At 50.8% G+C, this 20,912-nt stretch overlaps 1 long non-coding RNA gene across 1 annotated transcript, besides 3 other annotated features; it reads right to left on the bottom strand.

The window, feature by feature from the left end:
• Positions 3,964 to 5,163: an enhancer, noted in NCBI's record as "CDK7 strongly-dependent group 2 enhancer chr18:76406811-76408010 (GRCh37/hg19 assembly coordinates)". NCBI's record gives its function as "activates an origin of replication core promoter dependent on BRD2, BRD4, P300/CBP, MED14 and CDK7 cofactors, with strong dependence on CDK7, by STARR-seq in HCT116 cells {active_cell/tissue: HCT116}" and the evidence as "EXISTENCE:reporter gene assay evidence [ECO:0000049][PMID:35650434]".
• LOC105372221 (uncharacterized) lies at positions 10,737 to 12,680 on the bottom strand. Its single transcript, XR_935675.1, has 2 exons — positions 12,409 to 12,680; positions 10,737 to 11,167 (listed from the first exon to the last, which is right to left on the bottom strand). It is a non-coding gene; the product is annotated as an uncharacterized LOC105372221 (long non-coding RNA).
• Positions 11,663 to 12,163: an enhancer, noted in NCBI's record as "H3K4me1 hESC enhancer chr18:76399811-76400311 (GRCh37/hg19 assembly coordinates)". NCBI's record gives its function as "activates a minimal SCP1, AML or CMV promoter by ChIP-STARR-seq in primed H9 embryonic stem cells {active_cell/tissue: H9 hESC(primed)}" and the evidence as "EXISTENCE:reporter gene assay evidence [ECO:0000049][PMID:30033119]".
• Positions 19,125 to 20,324: an enhancer, noted in NCBI's record as "P300/CBP strongly-dependent group 1 enhancer chr18:76391650-76392849 (GRCh37/hg19 assembly coordinates)". NCBI's record gives its function as "activates an origin of replication core promoter dependent on BRD2, BRD4, P300/CBP, MED14 and CDK7 cofactors, with strong dependence on P300/CBP, by STARR-seq in HCT116 cells {active_cell/tissue: HCT116}" and the evidence as "EXISTENCE:reporter gene assay evidence [ECO:0000049][PMID:35650434]".

Here is a 20,912-nt window from a genome sequence, read left to right as displayed (position 1 = left end):
TATCTGTTGTTCATTGGTTTGTTCAGGGTGAGCTGGAATATGTAATACCAAGTAAATGATAAAGATCCGCACAGCTCAGGAAGGTAGTGTCACCTTCCAACTGCCTGTTTTCAATGCACTGAAAAGAAGCTTCTGAGCACCATCGCCTCATCCTCCAGCGGCCCCAGCTCCCCACCTGCAGCAAACACCTGCACACAGGTCCCCCACACACCCTCTGGCCCTGCAGTCCCATCCTCAGGGTTGTGCACACAGGTGCCCCCACACACCCTCTGGCCCTGCAGTCCTATCCTCAGGGTTGTGCACACAAGTGCCCCGTACGCACCCTCTGGCCCTGCAGTCCCGTCCTCAGGGTTGTGCACACAGGTGCCCCCGCACGCACCCTCTGGCCCTGCAATCCTGTCCTCAGTGTTGTGCACACAGGTGCCCCCGCACGCAACCTCTGGCCCTGCAGTCCTGTCCTCAGGGTTGTGCACACAGGTGCCCCCACACACCCTCTGGCCCTGCAATCCTGTCCTCAGCGTTGTGCATTCTGAAGGATAAGTGGGAGGGGGCATGTCCTGGGACCCCCATCTGCAGGAATGTGATGAGCTTCAGGAAGGGCAGCCATATGAAAGCCTCCCTCTATGAAAAAGGAGTGCCCAGGAGACATCAGCTATGTTTAGAAGCAGGAGGAAGATGAAAAACCAAAGTGTTAAAACAGGCATACGCAGGAAACCCGCTTTCTCCCCTTCCCTGGGTTGATGATGACCGGGACAGTCACGCTTGGATGAAAGGTCTCCCTGGAGGTTGTCTTCACCATAGGCCGGGGTCCCGGAGTGTGCGGAGCGATCATGGTGGGCACTGATCTGAGGAGAACAGGCCGCCCGGCCGAGGAGAGGGGCCTCTCCAGGTGAGTCCTCCAGGCCTGCGGGGAGGTGAGTGAGAGCCTCTCTGGGCTAGTGGACACGCCTTCTTTTCTACAGGGTGGTCATTTCACATTGTGTGGCTGCAAACACCCATCTTTGCCTGTGGGCAAGCAAACAGATTTGGAAAGGGGGTCTAGCTTGGCTTCCCAGGGCATTGGCAGAAGGCAGGTGACCCTGCGTGTTTGAGAAAACAACCACAATTCATATTAACACCAATGATGCCACGTTTCCTAATGTGCTTCAGCGACAAACAATAGGAAGTTGTAAGTCCTCTGGGAACTGGCCAGCGCCTTAGTATCAGCTGTAAAAGTGACTTCCTATCTTTTGTGTGGGTCACACAAAGGAATGAGAGGAAATTAGTGATTGTGATAGCCAGTTCTTCCCATTCAAATGAAGAAATGGGGTTTCCAAACAGACACATACCACTTTTAAGCTTTCCTGAACAGCCATGTGGAGCAGATAGGGTTCTAAATTCTCATGCTTTGGGCTATTTTGGTGGTACCTTTATGAAAGAATAAAAGCATAGCATGTTCTTTGGTGCACATATATTTCCTTTAAGTAAGAGCCCGCCGGGACCACAGCGAGACTCCTGTTCTCAAGCCCCAGCCACAGCATCAGCATCGCGTGGACCCAGGCTCTGGAAATGAGAAAACAACTGTGTCAGCTCATGCGGCTGCAACACTTCTGATTTTCAAGGCTAAAAAAGTTGCTTTTCTAGAAATACATATGAAAGAAAATTCTGTTTCCAATAACCACCACCACACACCCCTAATGTGCATTTTGAAATTCCCTTGTTCAGGGTATATTGACTGGCATTAGATATATTGGTATATACAGAACATGCAAAATGATATCACTGTCTGTATCCCCCGATGCTGTGGACACCTCTAAAGATCTCGTCTGTTATGCTTCTCCTGGGTGTGTTTGGTGGAGAAGTGTGTAGAGGGAATTCAGTGTGGAACCTGAAAGCATAGGCTTCGAACTCAGGCAGAACTTGGATTTGAATCTTGTCTTTCATATAAATTATCTGTGTGACCATGGGCAACAGACTTAAAACTCTAATCTTCATGTTTCTCCTCTGCTGAGAGAAAAACACTCACTTCAGAAAGGTGCTGTGAAAGCTCTCACAGATGATGCAGAGCCTGTGGTTACCAAATATCAGCCATGATTGTTATTTGATTAATACTATCTGCTGTTCTCATTATATGAGGATGCATTATGGTGATTTTCAGTGAGATAAAATCACAGAAATTAAACAGTTGGGCTCTGCTCCTGGGCTTGGGGTGTCAGGAGGCCATCAGAGCTGAGAATGGGCGTCCATCCATCCTGGGCACTCTGGCAGCACATAGGCCCGGGGTGCCAACCTCTGCGGCTCTGCAGTGTGGAGCGTGAGGTTGAGGGGCTCCCAAAGCCGGCTTTGCCTTGGCAAAGGTCATGGATGCCCACTGCATCCTTCCCAGTTGCAGGTGAGGCTCCAGCAGCAGCCAGAGTGTGAGGGGAGTGGCATGAATAGGGCAGATGAGTCTCACAGAGCACCAGAGGGGACAGCTCCTAGAAGACCATGTGTGTGTGGGCACACGCGGCAGCCGCCCTCACTGGCCCAATGCACGCCAAGCCCTCTGAGCCCTGGCCTGGCCCAGATGACCCGCTTTAGGGCTGGCCCTGCCTCCACAGATGCGTGTTGGGTGCAGCTGGCTGGCTTCCCTGGGTGGTGTCAGAGCCCCATCTCCTATCCGCATCTCTGCAGCTCCTTTCCACCTTCCTCTCCTGGCTTCAGATACGGCTCTGAGGAAACCGGACCCTCACACCTCCATGAGCACTGCGCCTCTTTCTCAATGCTTCTTTGAACCTTTGCCGTGGACTGAGAGGGATTCTTTTGTGCTGACTGCAAATTTCTGAAACAAGCTCATGCAAATTTCCCACATTCTGCCTTTTACCAATCAGCTCACTCCTTCTCTAATTTCAGGCCAAACCCCAGGATCATGCAGAATGAGACAAAAGGTGGCGACTGAGGAGGCACGTCACCCACAAAGGTGGCGCTTCAGCCTCTGGGGCTTCAGGGGTGAGGCCATTTCTTGAACGCAGGTGATTTAGGAATCTGTTTTCATCCACCCGATAAAATGTACTAATCCCAAGAGAAAGACCTCATCCAACCTGGCTTTGATCTATTAGGGAGAACTTCTGGGATATTCTTTATTGCCCAGGTGATATGAAGAACAGCATGACATGGTGCCGAAGAGCAGTTACATGGACATTAGCATGGAGCACAGTGCCAGGCCTCTTTCTGTGGGCAGCAGGGCTCCATCCACACCCCTCCAGGCACCACTGGGACTTCCAAAATGGGGGTCTTCACTGCAGCAGGCTTCAGGGCTGTGGTGTTCATGGCTGTGGTCTTTGGGTTTGGCTGTGATGTTCATGGTCGTGGTATTCTGGGCTGTGGTCTTTGGGACTGTGGTGTTCATGGTCATGGTATTTAGGGATGTGGTGATCATGGTTGTGGAGATCGTAGTTGTGGTGTTCATGGCTGTGGTGATCATGGCTGTGGTGATCGTGGTTGTGATGTTCATGGTCATGGTATTCCGAGCTGTGGATCTTCACAGCCGTGCTCCTGGCTTTGGTCTTCAGGGCTATGTTTCTCATGGCTGAGATGGTCAGGAGGCCACATTTCTGGCTCTTCCTCCTTCTCCTCTTTGTTGGCATTGGCGGCTGCCCTGACCTTGCCCTGCCATGCATACTTCTTCCACTGTCTTCCAAGCCACCAGTCTGTGAGTAATTAGATGGGCAGGTGATGAAATCCTGGAAGACAGAAAGTCCTGATCCTCAAATGAGCACCATACACTGGACCCCCCAAGCAGCACAGTAAAGATCACGCCCAATTCCGAATCAGAAGACTCAAGATCCTTGCTTCTTAGATGCAAATAAGGTGGCTTAAAGTGATGGCTGAGAGCTCCTGATGTGAAGTTTAAGAGCCTGGACTCAAATCTTGACTGTGCTGCAGCAAGTTACGTGGCTTTGGGGAACTTAGCGCACCTCTCTCTGTGTCTTGTCTCATCTCCACAGGGTTGAAGAGAGCAATGACCTCCAGGGTTGTGAGGATTAAGTGAGATCATGGAAGGGCTCAGTCCTGTTAGAGCGTGAATCTTCTATATTTGTTAATTTTTACCTTTCATTTTGATCGTGATGTATTCCTAGTGCCAAGTGCACTGGTTTCTCAGAGTCACAGTTCCCCAGGCTTCTGGCTTCTCTGCCTCTACCTGTGGGGCTCAAGCCTGGCTTATGTGCTGGGCAGGGGGAGACTCGATGCCAACTCCTCCATTATCTTATTCTTCATTCTGTTAATTCAGGGTTCCTAAAACAGGCAAACAAACAAACGAAAGATTAAGCAAACAAAAAGTTTCCTTCTCCAGTACAAAAAAGAAAGAAAGAAAGAAAGAAGAAAGAAAGAAGAAAGAAAGAAAGAAAGAAAGAAAGAAAGAAAGAAAGAAAGAAAGAAAGAAAAGAAAGAAAGAAAGAGAAAGCAAGCTGCTGTGGGTCAGGTCCCATAAGTACGAGTTCAGAGTAATCAGTGCAGGGGTCCAGGCCTCTTTGTCCTTCCCTCCGCCTCCTGCTCCTGCGGGGACCACAGATGGAGCAGGGCAGGGCTGGACCAGGAGCCTCTGCCCAGGCATGGAGGGTGCACATCTCACCCTGGGATGTGGCCTGTGCAGGACCCAGGGCTCAGAAATGGGGTCCTTGCTTGCAGAGTTGCTGAAACTGAGACAGGCATGGTGGCCACTGAAATTGGGATCTGCAGTTCAGGCCAGGGGCCTGTGGAGCACTGGGTGGTGAGTGTGTAGTTTTGGTTATGAGTCACGGAAGTCAACATCCGGCCTCTCTGTGATGGTGTAGGCATGTGGTGAACAAGAAGGGCAGCAGCCCTGATGTCTCTTCTTCTCCACAGACCCACACTGGCTGAGGGTCTGGGCACATGGCACAGACGAAGTCCTTTCACTGCCAAGAAGCCTGAGCAATGGGTTCCTGCCCCTCACGGACCTGGAGCTGGGGAAGGAAGTGGAAAGGCACTGGCTTGGACGGAGAAAAGCCCCTCAACTGAGCCCCTAAGAAGGGGTCCCCAGTGGAGGTGTGGGGGCAGGCATGCAGATGTGGAAAGAGTGTGGCCAGCAGGGGCCGGAGTCCAAAGCGCAGCTCTCCCGAGGCTGCTCCTAGACGCCAGCCGGGTGAGGCCTTTATAATTGTCCGTGGCAGGGCCTGAAGGGTCCCATGAAGGATTTGGGGCTGGATCCAACTCCCAAGGCCAGGAGGGCAAACAGGGGATGTGGGAACAGGAGGGGCTGGCGTCTGCGGCTGGTGGCTGATGGGGGTCCTGCTGGATGATGGGGGCTGTTGGGGTGGGCCTGGCTTAGAGGGAAAGGGTTTGTTGCCATGCAAAGACCATCCAGGTCCTAAACACAGGGAGCAGAGACGGCGTTAACGAGTTTACACCCTCTATGTGAAGGAAGATGTCCAGGAGAGCCCAGAGTAGAAGTAAAATGTGGGGAAACCCATGGCCACGCTGCATCTCATCTCACGCATTTCCTCAACTGCGGAGCTCTTCTCCATTCGTCTGTCCATCTATCCATCCGTCCGTCCATCCATCCATTCATATCCACAAGGCACACAGAGCCCCTGCTCTGAGCTGGTGCTGCTCTGCAAGCTGAGATGCTTTGCTGAACCCCACCTTGAGCACACACTGCACCATCTTTGTCGTTTCTAACTGTCTCCCTACACAGTTAGTTTCGTGCCATGGTCAGTGCCGTGGAAAAGTCCATGTTCTGATGTTTTCACAGGTGCAGGTGCTTTGGCCTTCAGTCACGGATTCCACCAACGGCACAAGCGCCCTTTGCTCAGATGGACAGGGACGCTGGACACGTACCCCTCAGAAGGACACAGCGCAGCCTTGATCTCACCGTGGACCTAGACCTCCTGGCCGCAGGGCCCTGCTGACCTTAGTGCCTCCTTACGGGGGATCCAGCCCACGCGCCCCAGGAGAGAAGCCAGAGGAAGGAAGCTTCTGAGGCCGAGCTCCTCCTGCGAGGTGAACATTATGCCGCTGACGTGCCGGAGAAGCCAAAAACGCATGCAATTAACTCACAGTGGATTGATATTTTCCATTTTAAATTTTGTCTTAAAAAGTTTCAGAAGTGAATGTAAAGTCTCATAATTGAAAAATATGAAAATATGGAGAACATGGTGTGTTTTATTTTTATTCATCTGTTTGCTATCATAGCAACCCTGCTTTCCCTTCATCTTCACATGTGTTTATATACATATGTAAACACACGTATGACAAAATGCCGAATTTTCACATTTCATTGGTTAATTTTCATTTCTGACCAGCAAGGGGTCAGAAGCGTGTCCTCCCTGCAGGGACTCCCCGGATTTCTCAGCACCTCTGAGCAGGCTTGGTGTGACGCTGAGGAGGAGCAGCGTCTAAAGCCTTCCAGGCAAGAGAGGAGCATATCACCGTGCTCACTGTGGGTGCCCATCAGCCACATGGCGCCCAGGCCAGCCTGGCAGGCTGAGTGTTGGGTGTGGTGTGGATGTGTGGTCTCGCCGCCTGCCCCCGAGGCGCTGAGGTCTGGGCCTGGTGTGGACGTGTGGTCTCGCCGCCCGCCCCCGAGGCGCTGAGGTCTGGGCCTGGTGTGGACGTGTGGTCTCGCCGCCTACCCCTGAGGTGCTGAGGTCTGGGCCTGTGTTCCCACCACGGGTTGTGATGAGGCCCGTGGGAAGATCTGCTCAGCCCAGGTGCTTACAAGAGTGGTCACGTGGCCTTGGTCTGAGCCCCTGAGGATGCCGGCAGGAGGGCTAGAAGCCAGGCTGTCCATCCTGGTACACAGGGGGTCCTGTGGTGTTCTGCCAGGTGAGGCTTGGGGGTGCAGGATGGAAACCCTGGGATTTGGAGGGTTGGCGGTTTAAGGGCCAGGGCTCATCAGCCACTGGAAGTAGGTTGATACCTGGAATGTGCCTGACCTTCTGGGCTGGTCTCCACATTTTTGACTCTGATGCTGTTTGCGGGCGGAGCAGTGCTGGCTGAGAAGACATGGTGAACACTGAATGAGCGCGTTCTCTGCAGCAAAGTTGAGCCTCGGGCTTGGCATCTTTTAGCAAAAGATTTATGGTCCCATCTCAAATAACTTTGTGTAGCAGAATGCTGAATTTTCACGTTTTATTGGATAATTTTCATTTTGGGCTATTGGTCCGAAACTCGTGACAGAAAGATATCACTTGACGATAGTATCATTCATCAAGTAAGAGAGACTAATTATCTTATTTTGAATGTGGATTTAAATTCATTCACCCTGCAAGTCCCTAAATATTGGATTGTCGATTTGAAAAATTGACTATGCTTTTCATTTATGTTACACAGATCATATTAGACGCAACAGATGAGCCTCCACCCACGTTCTCAGGTGCACTTCTGCACCTCCTGCCATCGGGTTCTACTTGATTCAGACCCTGAACCATTTTGTGATTGGGAAAAAGTACCCTGGAAGACTCAGTACCTGTTAGCCTGATCCTGGGTTCCGTGGGGCTTAGCACTAAGTGGACGCCCAGGATATCATTGTGGACCCAGTGGCACTCCAGGAGTGCTGGCTGCCCGCGGCTCTAAGGGTGCTGATGCGGTCTCCTGCCCTGGTGCGTGACTCCATGTGCCAAGGCCACGCGCACCTCCCTCAGGCCCCTTTCTGACTCTGCTCCACTCCACGTTCTGTCATCTGCGCACCAGGCACCTGCTGAGCACCCACAAAGACATGGCCACCCCCTCCTAGGCATTGCACACGCTGAGGAGGGCTGTGGTAGGAACGAGACTCAGCCCCCTGACCACTGAGGGTCCTGTCCTGGGGATGTCCACACTTGCCTTCCGCACTGGTTCCTGGGGAAACCCCTGCCACCCTTCCCAGCCTCCTCCACAGGGTCCTGACCTCACGGACTCGGGCGTGGCCCATGCTCTTCGTGCCGTCGTCAAGTTCACCTCTCGACAGCTCAGAGTCCTGGTTCCCAGGCCCAGGTACTGGGACCTGTGTGGATTCCAACTGTAGAGACCACCCTGTGGACGCTGCTCCATCCAGCTGAATCTCCCTGGTACTCTCTGGCCGGAATCAACATGCTGCTGGCTACTCCCTTGGATGCCCGTCTCATCTGCTCACCTGTGGCCCTCAACAGTCACCCTCTGCTCCTGGGCCACTTTCTCCAGCACCTGTGCCCTCCAAGGCAGGAAAATTGTGTGCCTGGTCCTAGCTCCTTTATTTTCCTCTCCTGGCCCATTTTGAGGAACAATAAACTCACACCTGAAGCTTAAATTACTACACAAAAGGTGGTATTGTAATATTTTTCATTGTAATTGCAAAATTAATGTGGAATTATGGATCTAATTAATTTACACTTATTTGGATGAACAGCCCAATAGACAGAAGTTTGAAAGCTGAGAGGATACAGATTATTTTGCAAGTTACATTACCAAAGAATTTTGGAAATGGAAGATTCTTACATGAAAGGATTGTTAATGTGATTTTGCTTTAAAAATATAACCTGTATTGGCAATTAATGAAATAATATGTAATTTAGAACAACTAGTTAATTTCGTAGAAACATTTTGTCAGAATTTCTGAGAAAATAATGCTTTAAATCTTTTTAACTGATCAAAACACTTTAAAATATTTGAGAAACATCCAGCTGTGTGGAGATTGCTATGAGAAATTAGGCTCACCCAATTTTTTCTTTCCTCCATTACTCATGTGTGTGTGCCCAAGTACTATTAAAAACTTAAGTAGGAAGTGAATTATGTAACTGCTATTACTGTCAAACATCACACTTGTTTCGTCAGCCCTAAGAGGCCAACTATACGTCTGTGGTTATCATCCCCGCCTTCAGGCTGGGGTGAAAAATAGAAGGTTCTTGATAGAATTTCAACTTCCTCTTACTCTAACTTCACAGGTTTTTCTAAATCCCCTTAGAATGGTGGCAAGATTTCTGCCAGACCATCCACCTTTGCAAGGTAACGTTTCTTTCAGCCATGATTCATGCAATTGATTATGTTGTTATTTAATGGAAAGAGGTGGCTCCTATAATGTGCACTGAGGAGTTGGATTCTTGATATAATAAATACACCTGCTGCTGTGTGCAAGGAGACCAGCTGGATGCTGCTATTGCTGCCTGACAGCCCCGCCGTAGCTGCTTTTCACATCCTGCTTTGCTTCGCAGGGCAATCCTGGCCCCTCTTTATCTGTCTGAATAACTCAAAGGCAGTCCCCTCCTTCCAGAGGGCCTTCCTTGCTCAATTGCTTTATGATGCTAGTTTGTTTATAACAATATCACATTTCAGTGGGGAGCCAGCTGGCTACTCTTCAAATTAAGAACAGATACAGTACCTGTCTCTGCAGAGAGCAAGGAAACTGACCATTTAGATCAGCATTATTGTCCCTTTTAATTTTTAAATGACTCCTGAGATCATACGCTGCCTGCTAAGCCTTTGTTATTGGTTAATGAGCGCTGTGCTGGTCAACGGAAAGCTTTGTTAACGTCCCACTCATAACTTATAAACAAATTCAGCTAGAAGAAAATTTTTGTTTAACACATGGATGCCAGATATTTGAAGAGTTCTTAGGGATTCCAAACTGGAAACACTTGTTGTGGCTAATGTGAATATCAAATCTGGAGTGACAATTAGCGTTGGACAACGCTCTAAAAGGGGGCTTGGCAAGTCCCCGAGACTCTCTGCCAGCGCATTTTTCATGGATGGCAGCAAATTACTCCCCTGCTCTTCCATTCATCTTCCTCAGTTGCTGACCCTGATGGATTCCAGCCCTTCTGTGTCTGCACCGTCTTTCTGATGAAAAGGTACACATTATGCATAGACTGTCTAACTGATGTTTAAGCTGGTCTGATGTTTGTTAATCACAATTAAAAAAAGGGAACTCTATTAATTTGTGGTCAAAACTCTTGGACAGACAGTGATAACTTGAGAAATGTAGTTCCTCAAATTCCAGTCATATCCTACTCGTCTGCACTTCTGCCTTTGCTCTGCTATATTCTCTGTGAGTCATCCTGCTTCAGGTAGCATCTTCCTGTCTAGTGCAATCAGGGTAGGGTATACCGTTTTTGGTAGAACTGGGCCTTTACTCAGCCTCTAAAGGCCCAGTCTTTAAGCTGTTTTGGTTAAAGGCTGGGCCAGCACACAGAAAGCTAAGGTGCCACCTATACACTATGACTTAATGAGACCTAAATTACTCATATACCCCAGCATCTGTCTTAGCCTGCCAAGTGACAAAATTTCACTGCTACAGGTAAAGTCATCACTCCAGAAGACCCTATTTGAAAACACAACAACTAATTAGCAGGAGTGATACATTCACTCGTTGGTATCTATTAGTTCATTAGAGTGAAGCTGCCCTTAGATAATGAGATGTTGCAGGCTGGTGTTGCTACAGCTGTATGATTAAGGTGAAATGTGAAACATATGTCCATTGTTTTCTTAAGATTAAAAAGTACAATGTGCCATTTACAAATGGTGTTTGGCTGTAGTAGGGTAGTAGAGACCCCAAATGATCATGGTTTAAATAAATTAGATTTTTTTTTTCTCATGAGAAGTCTGGAGACAAGCAATTCAGGGCTGGTGCGGTAAGTCCACGACATCCCAAGCTCCTTTAATCTCTCGGTCCCGCCATCCTTAATGCCTCCTTGCTTTCTCTCCCCGAAGTTACCCTGTGGTCACAAGATGCTTGCTGACTTCTAGCCATCATTTTCACATTCCAGGTCAGAAGAAGAAAGATGTAGAGAAAGGCAAAGGGGGCACAAAATTCAAGTTCCTTTATTGGAAACTTCACTCTATCACTGTAAATTACATTTTTTGGAAATTCCTAGGTGCGAGACAGGCTGGAAATAAAGGTGATAGCTGGGCATATCGCCACTTCAAAGGAAATCAGGGAAAAGGTGGGAAATAGGAATGCCAGCCAAGGAACTCGCATTTCCTATCACAACAGAGGAGTACAAATTAGCGGAGGGACTCTGGCAATGTGCATTCTGCTTGGGGGAACTATCACCTGGGGAGAAGCTGATGTGGTCTATTCAAGTTGGATGCAGAGACCTATGCCAGAGCTCGTGCTTTAGCTGGGAAAGTGCCCCTGCTGTCTGTCCACAGGAGCCTTGGAGGACTTCCCCCTCTTCACGTGACAGGACCCAGGAGAGGCGTGCCAGCCTCAGCTCAGCTCGCTGCCAGCTGAAAACTTCAAAAGAACATCAAGATCAGCTTCTCACAGTGTTTGAAAGGATTTGAAATTCATTCTCACCCTACATAGACTTGAGCCACTCTGTGGTTACAATGACGTGTTTTGTTTCCCATATAACCTCACTTTCTAATTCTTAACAGTTTGGAATCCTCTTATTGGTGACTATCCCTGCAGTTTCTAAATTAACTGGTAAAATGTATGTCTGACAAGGAGGAAAGAAGAAAAAAGCCCGCTGAACTGAGCTGCAGGGGGCTTGGCCAACCCATTCTCTAGCTCAGATACTTTCTCTCACACAGAACCTCACTTCGCATGGGATCAGCAAATGGCCTGTTATTTCATGTCTCAGAAGGGGGCTTGGCCAACCCATTCTGTAGCTCAGACACTTTCACACGCCAACCTCACTTCAGATGGGATCAGCAAATGGCCTGTTATTTCATGTCTCAGAAGTGTGACACTGTTCACAAGTCACAAAAGCAACAAATGCTTGTTCACTAATGCAGGGAATCTACTGCATTTCTGCATTTTAAATAAAAATGATGAATCAAGATTTTCAACTGTCTACAGTGGGAGCTCACCTTATTACCCACCTAGACTGTCTACAGTGGGAGCTCACTTACTCCCCATCCCAGCTGTCTACACTGGGAGCTCACCTTAATATCCATCTCATCTATCTACACCGGGGAACTCATCTTCTTACCCACATCAGTGTCAACACTGGGAGTTTACTAGTTTACTTACTACTCATCTTGACTGTCTACACTGGGGAGTTTACCTTATTCCTTATCATGATTGTCTACACTGGATAATCCACTTACTCATCATCTTGATTTTCTACACTGGGGAGCTGGCCTTACTGCCCATCTGGACTGTGCACACGGCGGGGCTCACTCTACTCTCCCTCTGGACTGTCCACACTAGGGGCTGGCCTCACTCTTCAGTAATGCACCTGGCACCGAGGGGGCGGTGCCCGTGACAGTGGCAGTCACTCTGAAGTGGGAACTGGCTCTCCCGTGCTGCAAATGCCTCTGGAGCTCCCAGCAGTCCCCACGCTCCCCCATGAGCGGGTGAGTGGTGAGGCCGGAGAGGGGAGTCACGGCAGCCCTTGAGGACCATCCAGTTTGGAATCTGGGATACCAGGAGGTACTGCAGAGGGGCGGCTGGAGCCTGGGGGCTGAGGAGAGAGAGGAGACTGGACGACGTGTTTGGAGTATTCATGGTCAGCTTTGGGGGCTGCTTACCCTTCCCTCTTTTGAGAACAGTGCTGGCCTCTGGTCTCAGAAAGGAGCTGGCCTGTGGTCTGGCTGGAGGCTGGGGCACCCGTGCTGGGAAGGTTATGCTATTTCTGTGAACGGTGTCCCTTTGCTGGGACGTGCCCACAACTCCAGCTGTGAAACCAGAAGAGAACAGACTCGTTTGTCAAGACGTCAAATGACCTGAGCGACCCTTCAGCCTCAGGGATGTCTGTTGTAATCTTCAAAATGTGTGTTTGGCTTTCCCCCCTCTGAGCTAAACAAACTTTGGTTTCCCTTCCCTCTTGTCAATATATCATGCTTTATAGCACATTACATGATTAAAAAGAGAGAGAAACATCTAGTGCAAGAACCCTCTGTGTGGCCTCATAAAATATTAATGGATTCAGAGAGGAAATGTGAAATCAACATCCCCTTGCATGCACTGGCTTGTGCTGGGTCTGGTTTCGGCGGCGGTGAGGCCAGGCCTGCTCCTGGGAAGAACCTGCAGGAAAGGCCGGAGTCACTGCCAGTCCAGAAAATGCTGTGTGGTATGTGGGTGGTGTGTGGTGTGGGGTGTGGTGTGTGGTGTGTGGCATGGTGTGTGCTGTGGTGTGTGGTGTGTGTGGTGTGTGTGGTGTGGTGTGTGGTGTGTGGGTGGTGTGTGGTGTGTGCTGTGTGGGTGGTGTGTGGTGTGTGGTGTGTGTGTGGTGTGTGGGTGGTGTGTGGGTAGTGTGTGGTGTGTGGTGTGTGGTGTGGGGTGTGTGTGGTGTGTGGGTGGTCTATGGTGTGTGGTGTGTGGTGTGTGCAGTGTGGTGTGTGCTGTGTGGTGTGGTGTGTGCTGTGTAGTGTGTGCTATGCGCTGTGTGGTGTGTGCTGTGTGGTGTGTGCTGTGTGGTGTGTGCTGTGTGGTGTGTGTCTGGTGTGTGGTGTGTGTGCTGTGTGGTGTGTGCTGTGTGGTGTGCTGTGTGCTATGCGCTGTGTGGTGTGTGCTGTGTGGTGTGGTGTGTGCTGTGTGGTGTGTGCTGTGTGGTGTGTGCTGTGTGGTGTGTGTCTGGTGTGTGCTGTGTGGTGTGGTGTGTGCTGTGTGGTGTGTGCTGTGTGGTGTCTGGTGTGTGCTGTGTGGTGTGTGTGCTGTGTGGTGTGTGCTGTGTGGTGTGTGCTGTGTGGTGTGATCTCATACTCCAATGGAGACACGGAAGAGGGCAGACGGGCAATGTCCGTGCCACCCGGCGTGTAACGGAGCGTGTGCCTGGGAATCACGACCTTGAATCCCACTTAGGGGGCTCCCTGCAGCCTCCTCCACTGCGGCCCTGACACACGCGGGTGTGGTTCCCTCGGACGCTCCCTGGCTTCCCTCTGTCCTCGCCGCCGCCCGGGGCCAAGTGCTGCTCGGTGCCTCCTTCCCAGCCGCCCTCCCCAGCCCCAGGCCGGCCGGGGCGCCCTGCAGCCTCCCTAAGGGGCCTGCGCTTCCAGACGGGTTGCGTTTCCGACCTGCAACAGGCACAACAGGTCTGGAAGGACCCGAAGGTGACTTTAAAACAGTTTCCGAGAGGGTGGCCACGGTCAGGCACCGGGAAGATCCAGCTGAACTGAGAGGGAGGTGACCCGCCTGCAGGAGGCCTGGGCTCCGGGTCTGCACTGCGGTGGGTGCGGGGAGGGAAACGGCCGCGCGGGCCCCAGGCGCCAAGGGAAGGAGCGCCTCGCAGGGGCGCGAACCCAGGGCTGGGGGCCCTTCCCGTGTTTCAGCAAAGCCAGGCCGGTGGCCCCCGCTGAGCATCTGCGCAAAGCCCCGCGCCATGGGACTGAGGCTGAAGGACTCTTCATCCATCACTGCCCCGGCCAATGTGCCGCTCGGCGATCGGTGGGAAATTCAGGCCATCTGTCTCTCCCGCCCTGCCCGGTTCCCTTCAGGGTTCCCCACGGCCCCCTCTGCGGGGTTTGTCCCGTCCCTGGCGAGGCAGCCCTCGCAGCCGGGCCTGGAGAGAAGGCAAAGCAGCCTCGGAAGCCTCTCCTGGGAGTCGGTGACACAGGGAGCCCAGCCGGCCGGGAGCCGAGAGGCGATGCCACAGGGACAGAGGGGCCGCTCCGAGTAGAGCAGAACAAGGTGCAGCCCAGGCCCACCTGTCCACCCGATGGGAAATGCCGCTGCTCATGAAGGAAATCATGAATGCCGCAACGTAGCCAGGCCTGTGACGAGGAGGAAAAACTGCGGGATGTGGGATGTGAGATTAAAAACAAACAAACAAACACACACACACATTTCATCCTTGTAATCCCAGCACTTTGGGAGGCTGAGGTGGGCGGATCACCCGAGGTCAGGAATTCACAACCAGCCTGGCCAACCTGGTGAAACACTGTCTTTCCTAAAAATACAAAAAATTAGTCGGGCGTGATGGCAAGCGCCGTAATCCCAGCTACTCTGGAGGCTGAGGCAGGAGAATGGCTTGAACCCCCGAGGTGGAGGTTGCAGTGAGCCGAGATGGCACCACTGCACTCCAGCCTGGCGACAGAGCAAGACTCCATCTCAAAAAAGAGAAAGCACAACTCACACTCACACACAAACACCCTTACACATGCACTCACATATGCACACACATGCACACTCTCGCACTCTCAGGCACACATGGACCCACAAACACATGCACACACACACACACGCAGGCACACACAACCATGAACTCACATGCACAGTCACACACACGCACTCATACACCTGCGCACACACACGCATTCTCAATCACACATGAACATGCACTCAGACACACACATGCACTCACACATGTACACACTCCCAAACGCATTCACACTGATGCTCATGCACACATGCTCATACACAGACACACACACGCACATGCACTCACAGACACACATGCACCTCTACACACCCATGCACACTCACACATCCACTCACATGCACTTACACAAGGCACACATACACACACCTGCACACACATTCACACATGCACTCACAACCACTCACTTGCACACACATGCACTCACACTATCATGCACTCATGCATTCATACACTAACACATGCACTCACATATGCACTGAAACACTTAGACACATGCACACACAAACACACATGCACACACAAACATGCACTCACACAATCACACACTTTCACCCACACGAGCACATTCACACATGCACTTGCACTCACCCACATTCACACACACATGCACTCCACAAATATGCAACACACACATGCACTCACACACAAACTCATGCATGCACTCACACACAAACTCACACATGCACTCACACACAACCACACACACATGCACTCACGCACATCCATACACTCACACATGCACTGCCACACACACGGACTCATACACATGCACTGATGCACACACATGCACTTACACAGTAATATGCACACACATGCACTCACACACTCCCATACACACACATGCACTCACAGGCACACAAACACATACTCATGGACTCACACAGGCATTCACATACACACATGGAGTTACACATGCACTCACACACACTCATCCACTCACACATTCACACACATGCACTTACACACACACCCATAGACACATGCACTCACACATTTACACACACTCACATGCATACACATGGTCTTACAACTCACATGCAATTGCATGCACTCACACACATGCACACACATGCACTTGCACACACAGGCACACACTCACATGCACTTGGACACACTTACACACAGACACACATTTATTGATTTTCACATGGTGCGAAGTAACTCTACATGGATTTTTCAGACTTCCTTTATTCTCATGGAAATACATGTTGGAATCTATGTTCTTTTGGGGCTATTTTCAAGCAAGCAGTGGTGAGTGGTGGTGTCTGGTGCCAGCGGGAGGCGCAGTCATGTTGATGTGGCCCCCAGCTGCGGGTGGAGCTGCAGCCCCCGGTGGGCATCGCCTAGAGGCGTCTATGAGATGGGATGACAGGGGTGGGGGGACCCTAGAAGAAACACTGGAGGAAATCCCCGGGGGCATCAGCTGCAGCCTCCCACTGCACATAGGGTCTCGGTGCCCTCAGAAATGCACTCTCCAGGGGATCCCCAACACAGACACCCGAGCTGCGAAGAGGAGGAAAGACTGGAATCCGAGAACAAGGCCCAGGGAACTGTGATGTCAGGACACAACTCAGGACCTCCAGTGTCTGTGTTCTCACAGAGACCTCCCCTTCCCAACGTGCCCAGCACTTCAGCCTGCAGCCGACTCCCCTGGCAGTGTGAACGCTCGCCGACTCCCCTGGCGGTGTGGGCCCTTGGGTGCTTTCTGGACGGACTGGTGGTTCTTCGGGTGTAACCGACGGGCCTGGGGAAGGAAGGCGGTGTGTCCGCCTGGCTGTTTTCAGCTTTGTCCAGGTGTGGACGGGGCTGGCTGGTCTCTGGAAGTCCTTGGGGGTGGCCTGCTCCATGTCCTCTGCGAGGCTGCGAGGCATGAAAGACAGCTTGCTTCTCGGAGGGACGTCGGCGCCTTCCTTAGCAGGCCTGTAAACCAAGGGACAGGCAGAGCCATCGTTTCCGGCTTCAGGAAAATGATGAGGTTTTTAAAAAATAATTAAAATGCAATTAATTCTTTTATTGATGTCTCTGACGTTTGAGGACCCCATCGATGGACCACCAGGGTCCCCTGTGCAGCTGTGAGAGTCATGGCTGCTGATGGAGCTGCAGCGTTCGCACCGAGGCCTGCACAGCCCTGACGGGGGAGGACGCAGATCAGCCAGGCCTCGGCTTTCGTGTCTTATACACACGAGTACAGCAATTTTATCAAAGTCATGCTCCAGCACCTCCACGCACTATGGGCTGCTGAATCTCGAGAGCCCGGGAATTTGCGGGTTGGGAGTCACAGTTGTGGGTCAGTGACCCTTGTCACTCGCCAGGACGTTCTACTCAGTACTTTATCCAACAAGCATTTATGAACTCCTGACTTCCAGCCCCTGCACGAGTCCCCAAAGCACAGAGCTGGAGATGAAGACCGTTCCTCCAAATACCATGAGGCCCGGGTGAGGACAGCTGCCGGGACCACACAGGACAGTGAGCGCAGACACACAGGCTTGCACAGCGTGTAGGGGTGGAGGGCGGTCTAGGCATGTGGAGGCACCAGGGCTGGCAGAAAGAGCTCCTGAGAGAGGGCAGGCTTTGCAGGGTCTTGAGGCAGAAACAGGAGTTTCCCAGGTGGAAGAAGAACAAAGCATCGGAGCTGGGGTGGCTGGGTCTGAGAGTTCAAAGAAGCATTGTGACCCAGCCCAGGAACCTGGAGAGGCTCACGAGAGGCCAGGTGGGCTACTCTAGGGCAGACGGCCTCAGGAAGCGTGCAAGCAGCTCTGGAGAGTGTCCGCGAGTCAGGGAGAAGGGCCAGGGGCTCAGCTGGGTACAGGTGCACAGCAAGGAGAATGTCGGCCATCCTAGGCATCTCACTTCCGTCTCCCTTCTGATGAGGAAAGCAAGGCAGAAGCGGGTGCAGAACCTGTCAACGGTTGGCCTTTTCCTCTCTGTGCGACTGCAGCTGCGACAACTGAAGAGAGTGGCCAGGTTCTGGGAAGCCCAAGGGAAGAAGAGAGAAAAAGTGTCTCCAGGAGCAGCCTGAAAGTACGCAGGAAGCCGGACACATTAAGGCTACAACAGTAATTCACATTGCTTCCTGTAGACACATAGAACTAAGACTGTAACAGTAACTCACATTGCTTCCTGTATACACATAGAACTAAGGCTGTAACAGTAACTCACATTGCTTCCTGTATACACATAGAACTAAGGCTGTAACAGTAACTCACATTGCTTCCTGTATACACATAGGACTAAGGCTGTAACAGTAACTCACATTGCTTCCTGTATACACGTAGGACTAAGGCTGTAACAGTAACTCACATTGCTTCCTGTATACACGTAGGACTAAGGCTGTAACAGTAACTCACATTGCTTCCTGTATACACATAGGACTAAGGCTGTAACAGTAACTCACATTGCTTCCTGTATACACATAGGACTAAGGCTGTAACAGTAACTCACATTGCTTCCTGTATACACATAGGACTAAGGCTGTAACAGTAACTCACATTGCTTCCTGTATACACATAGGACTAAGGCTGTAACAGTAACTCACATTGCTTCCTGTATACACATAGGACTAAGGCTGTAACAGTAACTCACATTGCTTCCTGTATACACATAGGACTAAGGCTGTAACAGTAACTCACATTGCTTCCTGTATACACGTAGGACTAAGGCTATGACAGTAACTCACATTGCTTCCTGTATACACGTAGGACTAAGGCTGTAACAGTAACTCACATTGCTTCCTGTATACACGTAGGACTAAGGCTGTAACAGTAACTCACATTGCTTCCTGTATACACGTAGGACTAAGGCTGTAACAGTAACTCACATTGCTTCCTGTATACACGTAGGACTAAGGCTAGGACAGTAACTCACATTGCTTCCTGTATACAGGTAGGACTAAGGCTGCAACAGTAACTCACATTGCTTCCTGTATACATGTAGGACTAAGGCTAGGACAGTAACTCACATTGCTTCCTGTATACAGGTAGGACTAAGGCTGCAACAGTAACTCACATTGCTTCCTGTATACACATAGGACTAAGGCTGTAACAGTAACTCACATTGCTTCCTGTATACACGTAGGACTAAGGCTGTAACAGTAACTCACATTGCTTCCTGTATACATGTAGAATATGGTGTGGACTTTGGGATTTATTAAAAATGAGAAGACATTTCTAATTTCCTTATGCTAGGAGATTTCTCTGGCAACAAAATCGTCTTTCTTCAACTGAGAGGGGCCATTGTCCTAGAGTGAATCAACATTGAGCTCATCTGGCCCACAGAAGCAAAGTGAGACTAACAGGGATGGTTGCATGCTTGGGTTTGTATCTTTTCCAAGGGCATCATCTGTGTGTCTGTTATGACATAGTCAACCCATCGCCATCACGTGAATTTACCACATGAAGATGGGGAAACGGGCATGATGGACCTCAGGAGGATGGAGCAAGCGGGGATGCTGGTCTCTGGGCCACGTTGACAGCTGTGCCCCATGGCTGGGCGGAAGCTTCCCTCGCTGTCTGCGGAGACGGCTTCCCTGCCCCCACATGGTGAGTGATGGTGTTTGCACATTTACCGTGCAGATGGGCAGGTTATGGGCTACACCCAGTCCCAGGACATCTGGCTGAAGCACCATGACTCTCTCAGTCTAGAAAGATGATTGGGAAGCACCAGTGTGAGTCAGAGTGAGTGAGTGTTATTCTTGCACAATATTACATACAGCTTAATTCATGCAAATATAAATCACCCACAAATGTGAGCACCTCGTCACCCGCGGGACATTACTTGTGACTCACCTTGGAACGGGGCTGGCTCTCATGTCTGCAGGGACGGTAGATCTGAAGAGGCCACTCCCTGGGAGGTCCAGCAGGTCCCAGGGAGGCCTGTGACACCCATGTGAGGCTCAGAACGATGTTCTGTGGCCGTGGGAAGTGTGGAAAACCCACTCTCCACAAGTGCCACGTGTGGCCTTGGTTTTCTAAGATGAGCTTCGTTTCAATGCCTTGTGATTTGCCGATGTCAACACAAGCTGCCATGCGTGTGCTGGGGAGACACGGCAGCCCCCAGTCCAGTTGTCTTGCTGGCCTTAGGTTTGAGGAGAGCTCTATAAATGTTAACTGAGTGGATTCTAAAAGAGGTGAGTCAGATGGAATCACAGAACATGATGATGTGGAAACATTAATAAAAATATGTCTTATTTTATAAACTTTTATTTACGAGTGTTCCCATTGTAGGAGCACTTTAAGAAAGGGATAATGCTCATTTTTATGTAACAGTAAAATTTACAAAATCTTCATCCTCTGCCTTGCATCTGATAAGGCCACAATCTCTCCCTTCAGGGGCAGGAAGGGGCATCCAGGAGCGTCCCGGGGACGTGGTCGGAGGGAATTTGTAACAGCAGGGTGTTCGGTGGTGGAAATTTTCTCCTGAACCTGATCAGAGAATGAAGAATGCCACCGTTACAAGATTTACAGGAGAGGGCACCTATATAAATCCATCCGGATATTCTGGGCATACTAAGTAGATTGGGGGAGGAGGGGGTAAGGAGGGGCCGTGACAGTGACTCTTTCATCTCCTGGAGAAGACACACAAATAGACTTTCCACTGAAGAGAAGTCGAGGCCCATGCCCCACCCACGACTCAACGCACTTCTCCCATGACCCCATCAGGTGCCTGGGCTGCTGCACGGATCAAAAGACAGAAGAGTGGCCTGGTGCGCACTGAGCTGAGGGTGAGCAAAGGCAGCCCAGTCGCTGTGGTTCACAGCGTGATGCTTGTGCTGCCACAAAGTGTGCTGTGTGACACACGCAGCCCCCTTCCGTCAGAGCAGCTGAATGTTCCCATGAAGTAAATTTGAATGAGATAATGGCGTGGTCTGTGAACACCTGCTATGCTCTCTCGACTTCAGGCCTGAACTGTAGAATGAAGGAGTTGAACACCAAACCA

This window comes from Homo sapiens, chromosome 18, assembly GCF_000001405.40.
Source record: "Homo sapiens chromosome 18, GRCh38.p14 Primary Assembly".
Lineage (NCBI taxonomy): Eukaryota > Metazoa > Chordata > Mammalia > Primates > Hominidae > Homo > Homo sapiens.
This window is presented reverse-complemented; position numbering and strand designations above follow the sequence as displayed.